At 42.1% G+C, this 12,161-nt stretch overlaps 1 protein-coding gene across 12 annotated transcripts in view; it reads left to right on the top strand.

Moving 5' to 3' along the window:
• The window catches only part of UBE3D (ubiquitin protein ligase E3D), a 185,040-nt gene that overhangs the window by 120,958 nt on the left and 51,921 nt on the right, over window positions 1-12,161 (top strand). The window contains exon 10 of one of the 12 annotated variants that reach the window (XM_011536240.3): window positions 7-11,552. The exons of the other annotated variants lie outside the window; for them this stretch is intronic. Within the exon in view, the coding sequence (XP_011534542.1) occupies window positions 7-51 (45 nt within the window). The 3' untranslated portion in view covers window positions 52-11,552. Of the gene's footprint in view, window positions 1-6; window positions 11,553-12,161 lie in introns of those variants that run through there. 12 annotated transcript variants of the gene reach the window in all.

Here is a 12,161-nt window from a genome sequence, read left to right as displayed (position 1 = left end):
CCACAGGCAGAAGAGCTTCACTCCATGACCACAACCACCAAAAACCCATAGGGAGTACTGCCAAGCTACCGCTGATGTTCACATGAGGCCCAAGGGCACTTCAGTCAACTTGTGGTGAATTCTGCCAGACTGGGACTCACCCTTCAGGGCAGTGGGCACCCCTTTGGCTCAGGACAGATCGAGAAATGCTGTCTAAAAACCAAGTCCTGGACTCAGGGACCAAAGAACCTGCTTTGTGCTCTACCCAACTGTGACCAAGCTAGTACCTAAAGTGCAAGACAAAGTCTCCTTTACTTTTCCCTTTGCTTTCCTCAAGCAAAAGGAGTTTCTCACCATAGCCATCACAGCTTCAAATGTGTTGTGTCTCAGCTGAAGTCAGCAACTCTCAGAATCTCACCCAAGGCCCACAGCTCACTACCTGGGTATCACTACTGGTTATTCAGGGCCCAGGGGCTCTTTAGTCATCAGATGATAGGCTTTGCCTGGACTGGGTCCTTCCCTTTATGGCAACAGATTCCCTTCTGGTCCAGGATATGTCTACAAATGTCATCCAGGAGCTAGGGCCTGGAATGGGGCCTCACAACCCTGATCAGTTCTCTGTCATACTGTGGCCGAGCTAGTATTCAAGATTCAAAATAAAAATCCTCTTTACTCTTCCCTCTCCTCTCTTCAAGTGAAAGGAAGGGGTCTCTTTTGGAGTTGTGTTGCCTAGAGTTGGGGGAGGGGTGGCACAAGCACTCCCTTAGCTGCCCCAGCTAGTGTCTCAGTAGGTTGCATCACCCCCAAGTCCACTTGCTCCAAGCCCAGCTCAGCATTAAGACTTGCAGTCTCTGTGGTCTAGGTTGTTTCAAGTTTTTTTATGGCCCCAGAGCACTTCAGCCCACAGTAACAAAGCTTGACTGAACTCAAGTTCCCACCACTGGGATGGGCGATTCCCTTCTGGCTAGGGTTGATCTGCATGCTCCCTGCTTGTGTGGGCATCGGCTGAGTTCCACTTGGTTTTGCTTTCCACTGTAACCAGGAAGCACTGAGTTTAATGTGAAGTCTCATATTCACTGCACTCTCCCCCTTCAAGAGCACAGATTTCTCTGAGCTGTGCAGGTGCTGTGGGGGAATGGGAGAGGGGTGGCATTGACAATTCAAGACTGTTTCCTATTCTTTTCAGTGATATGAAGTTAAAATCAGATACCATGAGTCCTTACCTGATTTTTAGTTCTTTTTTTGTAGTTGTTGTTTGTTTTTTGTTTTGAGACAGGGTCTCGCTCTGTCATCCAGGTTGTAGTGTAGTGGTGTGATCTCAGCTCACTGCAACCTCCACCTTCTGGGCCCAAGCAGTCCTCCCAACTCAGCCTCCCAAGTAGCTGGGACTACGGGTACATGCCACCATGCCCAGCTAATTTTTGTACTTTTAGTGGACACGGGGTTTCACCATGTTGCCCAGCGTGGTCTTGAATTCCTGGGCCCAAGCAATTCTCCCGCATCAGCTTCAAAAGTGCTAGGATTACGGGCATGAGCCACCGTGCCTGGCTGAGTTTCGGTTCTTAAGAAGGTGCTTTTTTGTGTGTAGATAGTTGTCAAATTTGCTTTCCCTGTCAGGGGGACAGTGGATAGGGTATTCTAAAAAAAAGCAAGTCAGTTACTTCCTAGATACAGTGGGGTTACAGGCATTAGGTAAATACACCCATTCCACAGGGGAGAAATTGGCCAAAACAAAGGGGCTACAGGCCCCATGTAAGTCTGAAATCCAATAGGGCAGTCATTAAATCTTAAAGTTCAAAACTGATCTCCTTTGACTCCATGTTTCACATTCAGGTCATGCTGAGGCAAGAGGTGAGCTCCGATGCTTTGGGCAGCTCTGCCCCTGTGGCTTTGCAGGGTACAGCCCCCCTCCTGGCTGCTTTCATGGGCTGGTGTTGAGTGTCTGTGCAGGTGCACAGTGCAAGCTGTCGGTGGAGCTACCATTCTGTGGTCTGGTTGATGGTGGCCCTCTTCTCACAGCTCCACTAGGCAGTGCCCCAGTGGGTACTCTGTGTGGGGGCTCAGACCCCACATTTCTGCTCCTCACTGCCCTAGCAGAGGTTCTCCGTAAGGGCTCTGTGCCTGCGGCAACCTCTGCCTGGACATCCAGGCATTTCCATACATCCTCTGAAATCTAGGTGGAGCTTCCCAAACTTCAATTCTTGACAACTGTGCACTCACAGGGCCAATACCACATGTAAGCCACCAGGGCTTGGGGCTTGCACCCTTTGAAACAATGACCTGAGCTGTACGTTGGCCCCTTTTAGCCATGGCTGGAGCTGAATAGGCAGTGGCTGGGATGCAGGCCTGGGCCTGGCCCACAAAACCATTTTTTCCTCCTAGCACTCTGGGCCTGTGATGGGAGGGGCTGCCCTGAAGGTCTCTGACATGCCCTGGAGACATTTTTCCCATTGTCTTGGTGATTAACATTCTGCTCCTTGTATCTTATGCAAATTTCTGCAGCCAGCTTGCATTTTTTCCCAGAATATGGGTTTTTGTTTTCCATCACATTGTCAGGCTGCAAATTTTCCAATCTTTTATGCTCTGCTTCCCCTTTAAATATAAGTTCCAATTTCAGAACATATCTCTCAAAGTTCCACAGATCTCTAGGACAGGGGCAAAATGCCTCCAGTCTCTTTGCTAAAACATAGCAAGAGTGACCTTTCTATTCCAGTTCCCAACAAGTTTCTTATCTCCATCTGAGACCACCTCAGCCTGGACTTCATTCTTCATATCACTATCAGCATGTTGGTCAAAACCATTCAATAATCTCTAGGAAGTTCCAAACTTTCTCACATCTTCCTGTCTTCCTCTGAGCCCTCCAAACTGTTCCAACCTCTGCCCGTTTCCCAGTTCCAAAGTCACTTCCACGTTTTGGGTATATTTATAGCAGCACCCCACTCTACTGGTACCAGTTTACTATATTAGTCCTTTCTTGCTGCTATAAAGAACTCCCTGAGACTGGGCAGTTTATAAAGAGATTTAATTAACTCACAGTTCTGTATGGCTTGGGATGCCTCAGGAAACTTACAATCATGGCAGAAGGTACCTCTTCACAGGGCAGGAGGAGAGAGAATGAGTGCCAACAGGGGAAATGCCAGATGCTTATAAAACTATCAGATCTCATGAGAACTCACTCACTATCACGAGAGCAGCATGAGGGAAGCTGCCCCCATGATCCGATTACCTCCACCTAGTCCTGCCCCTGATGCATGGGGATTCTGGGGATTACAATTCAAAGGGAGATTTGGGTGGGGACACAGAGCCAAACTGTATTACTGAAGAACTTAAAAAATAATAATATAATAACTTATAGGGGCTCCTAGAAATAGATAGACAGAGGCCTGGGAATTTTACAGGTAAGTAGCAACAATGGGCTATAGACAAGAGAAAGTGAACTTTTTATCTCTGCACTCTTTTTTTTCTATATACTTTCAAACATTGTACTACATAAATGACCTCATCTGTTATATTCCACTTTCATCTCTGGGTGAATTATAGCCATTATTTTTTTTTAAGTCATGTTTTCCCCTAATTATATATATAAAATAAAACCTTTTTTCATAAAAAAAATTGGAAAATTCATAAAAATATAAAGAAAATTAAGATCACTGGGAGTAACCAGTATTGACATTTTAAAGTAATTGTTTTTTATTTTTTTGGAGATAGTCTTGCTCTGTCACCCAGGATAGAGTCCAGTGGCACGATCTCAGCTCATTGCAACCTCCGCCTCTTGGGTTCAAGCAATTCTCCTGCCTCAGCCTCCTAAGTAGCTGAGATTACAGACGCCACACCCGGCTAATTTTTGTGTTTTTAATAGAGATGGGGTTTCACCGTATTGGCCAGGCTCGTCTTGAACTCCTGACCTCAAGTGATCCACCTGCCTCGGCCTCCCAAATTGCTGCGATTACAGGTGTGAAGCACCGTGCACGGCCATTTTAGAGTAATTCTTAGTCCTATTTTTAATATCTGCTTATACACGCACACACAAATATATATATTAATATAAAATTGGGCTCATTGAAGATGCTGGCTGGGGCACAGTACTGACAATACTCTGCTCTTTCCTCTGTTTCATCTCCTGGCATGAAGACATATACTTTTCCCAAGAGACTATCAATGGGCCTTGGGGACATTATATATGAGGGTCTCAGGGTCCTGTTATTAACTGAGAGTGGGTAGGGAAGAAGGGTGTGAGTGATTCCACATGTCAAAGGGCTTCTGCAGATGTAGTCATGAAGCAGACAGACCTGAACCAAGATGGGCAGGCACTCCCTAGAATTTTCACTCAGCACTTGTGGTAATCCACGTGTGCATCCCAGGAAACTGAGATGGGAGTGGTGTTGGCACCTTCGGGTCCCTGGATGTGTCCACTATTTTTCCTTTCCTGCTAATGCCTTTGTCCTCAGTGTGCAAAGATAATCAGGACTTGAGTGCTGGTCATTGTATTTAGGAACTTCGTTCTCAAAGGTAGTGATTACTGTCCTATTTTCCATCTCTCTCCTCAAAACAATTTCTGAGAATTGCCTCAGCAATTTGGATGTGAAAGATGTTGTCATCTTCATTCCTTTTTGCCCTGCAGGGTGTTCTGTGGTCTGGGGAAATAAGCAGGTATTCTTAGTTGAATACAGTTCTCTAATCTGAATTGTCTCATCCTCTGCCTCCTTTCATTTTGGACTCTCCTTTTTGCCATACTCTAGAGAGAATGTGGAGGATGGGGCCAGGCAGACAGCCTGGAGGTTAACCAGAAATTTAGTCAGATCCACGTTGCTGCCACATCACATCTTTCAAAAGGCCGATTCCCTACCCAGATACCTGCCACGTGACCTGCCCCTCAGACATTTCTGTCCCTACCAAGGAGTTGAGGTTGTGGGCAAAGCTGGACAGTTTCTGTGCTTTCTGTAGCACTTCGTAGGGGAGGTCTGATGGGACTTAGGATGCTCTGCCCTTTGCTTTATTGAGAGAAGCAGGGATGATGTATAGCTTACTAAGTCTATAATTATGTTTCTTGTTTTGTTTGGTTGTGTTTAGTAAGTTAATTTTTTCCTGATTCTAAAGGAAATACCGTCATGTATCACTTAATGATAGAGATACATTCTGAGAAACATGTCATGAGGCATCACAGAGAATGTCATAGAGTGCACTTACACAAACCTGGATGGGCTGGGACAGACACAAACCTAGATGGGCTGGGACAGTCTACTACACACCTAGGCTATGTGGTATGGCCCATTGCTCCTAGGCTGCAAGCCTATATGGCACTGTACTGAATACTGTAGGCAATTGTAATACAATGGTAAGTATTTGTGTATCAAAATATATCTAAACATAGAAAAGGTACAGTAAAAATATGGTACAAAAGATAAAAAGTGGTGTACTCATATAGGGCAGCTCCATTATAATCTTATGAGACTACTGTTGTACATGTGGTCCCTTGTTGATCAGACATCATTATGCAGCTCATGACTGTATGTACCCACGATAGACGATGTGGTATGGGTTTTTCATTAGCAAAACAATACATATTTTTACTTTTAGCAAACTAAAAATATAGAATCTTAAAATTGAACCAATGGCTACCTAGCCCAATTCAGTCCATCTGTCCTTCATGGTGGGGAGAGAAGGCCTAGGGGCAAGGCCTGGCAGGCTCTGGGCAGCCTTTGTGATTTGAGAGCACTCACCTTCTCTTACCTCAGTATCTGTAACACAGAAATGGGGATAAGGAGAACTGGAAGACAGATAGGGTTTGTCTAATTCTGTGATGACATTATTATGAATGGTACTCGTTCTTTTTTTTTTTTTTAATAGACAGGGTGTCCAGTCTCACTCGGTCACCTTGGCTGGAGTGTGGAGTGTAGTAGCACGATCGTAGCTCACTGCAGCCTCGAACTGCTGAGTTCAAGCAATCCTCTTGCCTCAGCCTCCCATGTAGCTGGGATTATAGGTGCATGCCACCACACCAGACTATGGTGCTAGTTCTTAAATGTCAGTATACATGGGAAGCTTGTTTAAAATTTAGATTTCTTAGTGATCTAAGAAATCGGAGTCCTAGCCAGAGAGATTCCGATTCAATAGCCCTGAAGTAGAGCCCAAAAATCTGCATTAACAAGCATCCAAAAGTGTGTATGATAGGGAATTTCAAGAACGAAAACTGTAAGAAACACGTGATAAGAGAATATACACCAACTAAAGTGAGAAATGAAAGAATTTTAATTATAACAACATCTAGTCACAGGTCCAAATAGCTTAATTATTTTCCTCTTTTCTTCACTGCTCCTTATTAACCTGCACTTAACACAGTCTGTATTGCACTAAACTGAATAGTTGTCATCAAGTTTGTGTTTTTTTATTTTCCTTCTCTCTTTACCCTCAGATGTCTTGTAGAATCCTGGTGTTACCTCTGTCACTCCTCTTTCTGCCATTGGTGTGAACACCCGGCATCCCCACATCTCCTGATATCCGGGCTTCTTGCTTTTCTCAGGGATGTGCAGCCTCTGTAGTCCTCTCTCTCACGGCACGTCTGATGTGGTAGGACAGTCGCTCACGCTGATGTCAGACACTCAAGATCTAGTCTGGACTGCTGACCCTCTTCTAGGCAGATAACCCTCTATGGATCCCAGTTTCGTTATCTATGGGATGAAGGGTTGGGTTAAATTACATATGTAAGTGTTTTTAAAGTTCGTTTAAAGTAGAGGCACAGAGTCATTTTTGTCTGTTCCCAGCTGTTCCTGATTTATTCACCCAGTCTGCATAATATAACTGTATTCCTTAAATGTTATAGAACCTTATTTCTTGTGAACATCCTAGAAGTGTTTAACTGAGGAAAAATATAGATAAAGTCAGATTACATAGGGTTGTTGTGTGTGTGTGTGCGCGCGCACACGCCCGTGTGCTCTCCAAGAGGATGGAGTTGATGCCGTAAGACCTCCCTAACAGCTGCCAGGAAGGGACAGGAATGATGGGGTTAGGGTGCCATCTGGCCCTTGGCTCTTCCTGCCTCTGAGACATAGGTAACTCTTTCATGTGGAGGCTAGTAAAGGAAGAACCCTGTCCGAAGGGCTGTTTGTCACAGAAACTTGAAATGTTCTCTGACAGCCCGTAATTTCCCCCCTTTCGTCTTCCTTCTCTACCCTCCCTTAGACTTTTTGCACTTTCGGCTTCCCCTTTTATTTTTCACTCTGGTTCTTGGTGCACATTGAAACATTTATGGCTTAGGAATTTTTCAGTGATTTTGTCTTTGTATTTTACTTATAAGTATAGTTACTCCAAGAAAGATTTCTAAAATGTGAGCCTCTTCTGTTGCCTGGAGCTGCTACTGAGAGGACTTCGTTCTTTCCCACACACTGAGCATGGCTGTGTTCAGTCAAGTGGTGGGTCTTACTTCCTTGGAAAGGAGGCTAAAGATATGTGTCTGCTTTTAGAAACAAAGTGGGATCAAGATTGAAATAACTGAGCTTGCTTCACTCATGGAGGGAGCTGCTGTGTTGTTCTCAGGAGCTTTTTTTGTGTGTTTTTGTTTTTGTTGTTTGTTTGTTTTGTTTTGTTTTGTTAGAAGGGGGAAACAACAGCCTGGGGAGGATGTCAGCCTTCAAGGGAATGTAGTTTGGAAGGTGAAACTGTTCTCAAGCCTCCATTGAGAACCTCTTGTGAGCCCTCCTGGTAGTGAGTAATCATTTCAGCAAAGTGAGAATATTTAGAATAGAAGAGGTATTGGGGGATCTTTTCTAGTCTAAATGGAAATAAGCCAAAGGAAGCATGGGAAACAAGAATGAAATTATTTTATTGTCCCTTTGGTCCTTGCTCTTATAGACCTCATCTATGGAGCAGTAAAGAAAAGGGCCTGCAGTGGAGGTGGAAGATATGATTGGGCTCCTTCATGACTGTTATGAAACCAGCAACCAGCGTGACTGGACCTAAGTCACTTTCCCTGTCTATACCCTAGTGTTTTCATTCCTCCTGCGCTAAACTGATTCTAACTTCTAGTAGTTGAAAGTTTCACAGAAGTGTAAGAGCTTGTGGATTAAACTAGCCTGAAAAAGAAAAATTATCATCCAGTTTGCCCTTCTCTGAGATTAGCACATTGCTTCTTTGGGGTTTGGAGGTTGGAAGTGATGGTCACAAACCAAGTGATCATGTCTGGGCAGCAGGGAAGGGGCTTCAATTAGGGGCTTAAAGCAATTAGCATCAACAGTTGGCTTTCAGAAATTTAAGACAGTGTGATTAATCCATAGCATACAAAGGTTGTCTGGTATATAGTCCAAAGCTGTGATAACAGAGCACAGACTAAATTGGCAGAATAATGTTTCAGTGCTGGCTCCTTATCTTGACTCTTTAGAACTGAATGCAGTTCTTCATTAAAAAAAAAACAAAACCTGTATGTGTCCATAGTCCCTATATTTCTGGTTCTCTTCCTGCTGGTAGTAAATTATTATTTTCTTCTGATTTAACTTCAGCTTGAAAATCATTTGTAAAGGCAATAAATATTTGAGACATTGATCATTTGAACCATCAGCTGCTTTTCATTGAGTCCCCAAAATATGCTAATGTTTTTAGCAGAAATCAGAGCACTTAAAATAGAAGGCTTTGTTCTTGGTATTTTTATTTTAAATAGCAGAGTTAAATCTGTTTATATTACATTTTTGTTTCACTAATGTAGTTAGACTGACGTCTACAATCTTTGGCAGGGGCAGGATGGAATATATCTAGGATTTTCTAGCAGAGACTAAATTGTTCAGTATATTTACCTTTTTTAAACAAGCAAAGACCTTACCATTGTTTTTTTTTTACCACCTCTAGGCACATTCCACCCTCTCATCCCACATTTCCCCATTACTATTATGTATTATTTTTCCTGGTTCCACTTAAAAACACAAAAATCCATTATTTTAAATATTTTCATGTTCATTACCTAATACATATAATTGTCAGGCTTTTTTTTTTCTTGCATCTCACTTCCTGTAGTATTCCTGTCACTGATAGTTTGTGAATGGGAAACTCTCTTAGTCTTTGTACATCTGGAAATGTCTTCATTTTGTTCACAGTCTTTAGTGATGGCTAAGCTAAGTATAGAATTCTATACCCCTTTTCGCTTTGAAGATCTATCACTCATTGCCTGCTGACATCTATTTTTGTTGATAAGACAGCTGTTGTAAGACTATTTGCTATTTCTTTGAAGATAAACTGTCTCCTTTCTTTTTCCTGCTGGCCTGTAAGATTTTATCTTCATGCTTGATATACTATAGATTTACAGTGATGTCTTCAGTGTGGAGTTTTAAAAACTTATTCTACGTAGTACTCAGAATACATGTAAGAACTCCTGTCTTTAAGTAGTTCTATAAAATGATCAGCTATTATATATTAAATTTCCATTATCCCCACCCCCATTTCCTCATTCCGACCTTCTATTAGACATATATTGGTGATGTAGTTTGAATATTTGTCCCCATCCAAATCTTATGTTGAATTTTAATCCAAGATTTTGGAGGTGGGTGGGGCCTGGTGGGAGGCTGTTTGGGTCACAGGGGTGTATCTCTCATGAATGGCATGGGCTAGCTCCTTGGTGATAAGTGAGCACTCGCTCTGAGTTCACACAAGATCTGCTAGTTTAAAAGTGTGTGGCACCCCCACCCCTCTCTCTTGCTTGCTCTGCTTTCTCCATGTGATGAGCCTGCTTCCCCTTCACCTTCTGCTATGATTGTAAGCTTCCTGAAGACTCCCTAGAAGCCAAGCAGATGCCAGCACCATGCTTCCTATAAAGCCTGCAGAACCATGAGCCAGTTAAACCTCTCTTATTTATAAATTACCCAGTCTTAGATATTTCTCTATAGCAATGCAAGAATGGTCTAATACTATTAGAGTCATTCTTGCATTCTCCTTGCCTATTCTCCTTGTCTCTTAACTGTTTTTTCATATATATACATATATACATATATATATATGTGATTTGTAAATACACACTCATACTTACTTTTATCTCAGAGCTGTATCAGAATAAATTCCTCAGTACTAGATCTTCCAGTTCACTCATTCTGTTGTTTATCTCCACTATTGAGTTCTATTTCAGTGGCTATATATTTTCATTTCCAAGGTATCACATTTTAAAAATCTCTATGAAGATATTAACATAGCCTATAAATATTCTTAGTTGGTTCTGTTATTTTATTTTTTTCTGAAAGTGCTTATTCTTCTACTTGTTAATTTTGTGGCTAAATTAGATGTCTTCATGTGTTTTGGAATTTTGATTTGCAAGCTCACCTTGTTTAACAACTGTTTTCTCCTCCTTACTCCTTCCCACAACTTGCCCCACCCCCATGGTAGTTTTGCAGCTGCTTCTGCATCTATATCTGTGTTTTTCTATTTCTCTAGATGAGAAACCCCATGTAAGTCGTAACTTGCAGCATTTGTCAGCAACAATTTTCTTTGGTTTCCTTTCATAAACATCATGCAGTCTAAGTCCAGCCCCTCTGTTAAAAAATTAAAATAACAGAACAAAGTAAAAAGATTTACAAGCTGTGTTTAATGTCCTCATTGTATTAGTCCATTCTCACACTGCTATAAAGAACCGCCTTAGGCTGGATAATTTATAAAGAAAAGAGGTTTAATTGACTTACAGTTCCACGTGGCTGGGGAGGTCTCAGGAAATTTATAATCATGGTGGAAGGGGAAGCAAGGCATGTCTTACATGGCGGTGGGTGAGAGAGAGTGTGTGAAGGAGAAGCTGTGAAACACTTATAAAACCATCAGATCTTGTGAGAACTCACCCACTGTCAAGAGAACAGCATGGGGGAAACAGCACCCAGGATTCAATCACCTCCTACCAGGACACTCCCTCAACACTTGGGGATTATGGGGATTACAATTTGAGCTGAGATTTGGGTGAAGACACAGAGCCAGACCATATCACTCATAATGATTTTTTTTAATTTGATACCTTGGAAATGAAAAGACCTTAACTTTAGCCCCACTAGGCACTCACGTGGCTTTAGCTCTGCCTCCACACTGTGTGCTTCTGGTCCATGGAAGTGCTTAGCTTGTTTTCTGAGTATAGCTATTAGTTGGAATTCTCTCATTTTATATTTTATCTGTCATTGCCTGATATTTGAAGAAGGCAAAGACTTTTAGTGTAATCTTTGGCTCTCTATGATTTAACCTTTGTTTTCATTTCGTATCTGTAGAAGGAAAATAACAACTGCCCTTCCCATCTGTGAAAGCACTTTGTGAGTAAAAAAGGCAAGTTGTGGCCATTTGTATAGTTAATGTAATTGGTATCACATTTTACCACTACACTCTACCTATGGAGTCAAGGATGTTCAGGATGGGTGGGTGGCATGCTAGGGGAATGAAATACCTTATATCATAATAGACTTCAACATCCCTAAAGTTGTCTGCTAAATGTTGTCAGTGGTTTAGTCCACAAATTGCAGAGTGCTTTCTACAGGTAAATGGATTGTGACTGTGTATTTACTTTTAGAGTTGCATGCAATGAAAATGAAATTGTTTTTCATGACAGTAAAGCTGGCTCACTATTCACTGGATTATTCCGTTTTTCTTAACTCTGTTGTGTTGGTATCCAGAACCTATCTTGCCATTTGCTGCTTAGGAGCTTTATAAAATCTGTCTAAACTAAAGATGCATTTGCTCTGGATATAAAAGAGTTTATTAAACTTTGTCTTTCAGGTGCTTATCACCATCATTGCATAATGTTGAAGGCCTAGAGAGTCATACTGTGAAGGTGATGCCTTTTATCAGTGTTATAAACCATTTTGTTAGTATCTTCCCCCACCCCCCAAAAAAACCCAAATCTGCTTGGTCAGGTGGCAGGAATCAACAAGAGAAGCCACTGCCTGAATTTGACCCTGGATACACAAAATTAAAGGTTTTCCCCTCTCATACTGTCACATTCTTTATAACAGACAACTAGAGCCCTGCTTTTCTCTTTTAGCTATGTTTTATTAATTGAAAAGTTGTGTTCCTCTCTCTCTCCATGCTCTAGCATGTCCCCTGGTGTCTAAAAATGCTCCATACACATTTCCTGGTAGCAGAAAACAATGGCAATTGGGTAGTAATCAGTCTCCCAAACTAAAAACAAAAAACAACTTTCCAATTAGGAAAACACTGCACAAAGCCACACCCTTAGCATTACT

This window comes from Homo sapiens, chromosome 6 (genome assembly GCF_000001405.40).
Source record: "Homo sapiens chromosome 6, GRCh38.p14 Primary Assembly".
NCBI lineage: Eukaryota > Metazoa > Chordata > Mammalia > Primates > Hominidae > Homo > Homo sapiens.
This window is presented reverse-complemented; position numbering and strand designations above follow the sequence as displayed.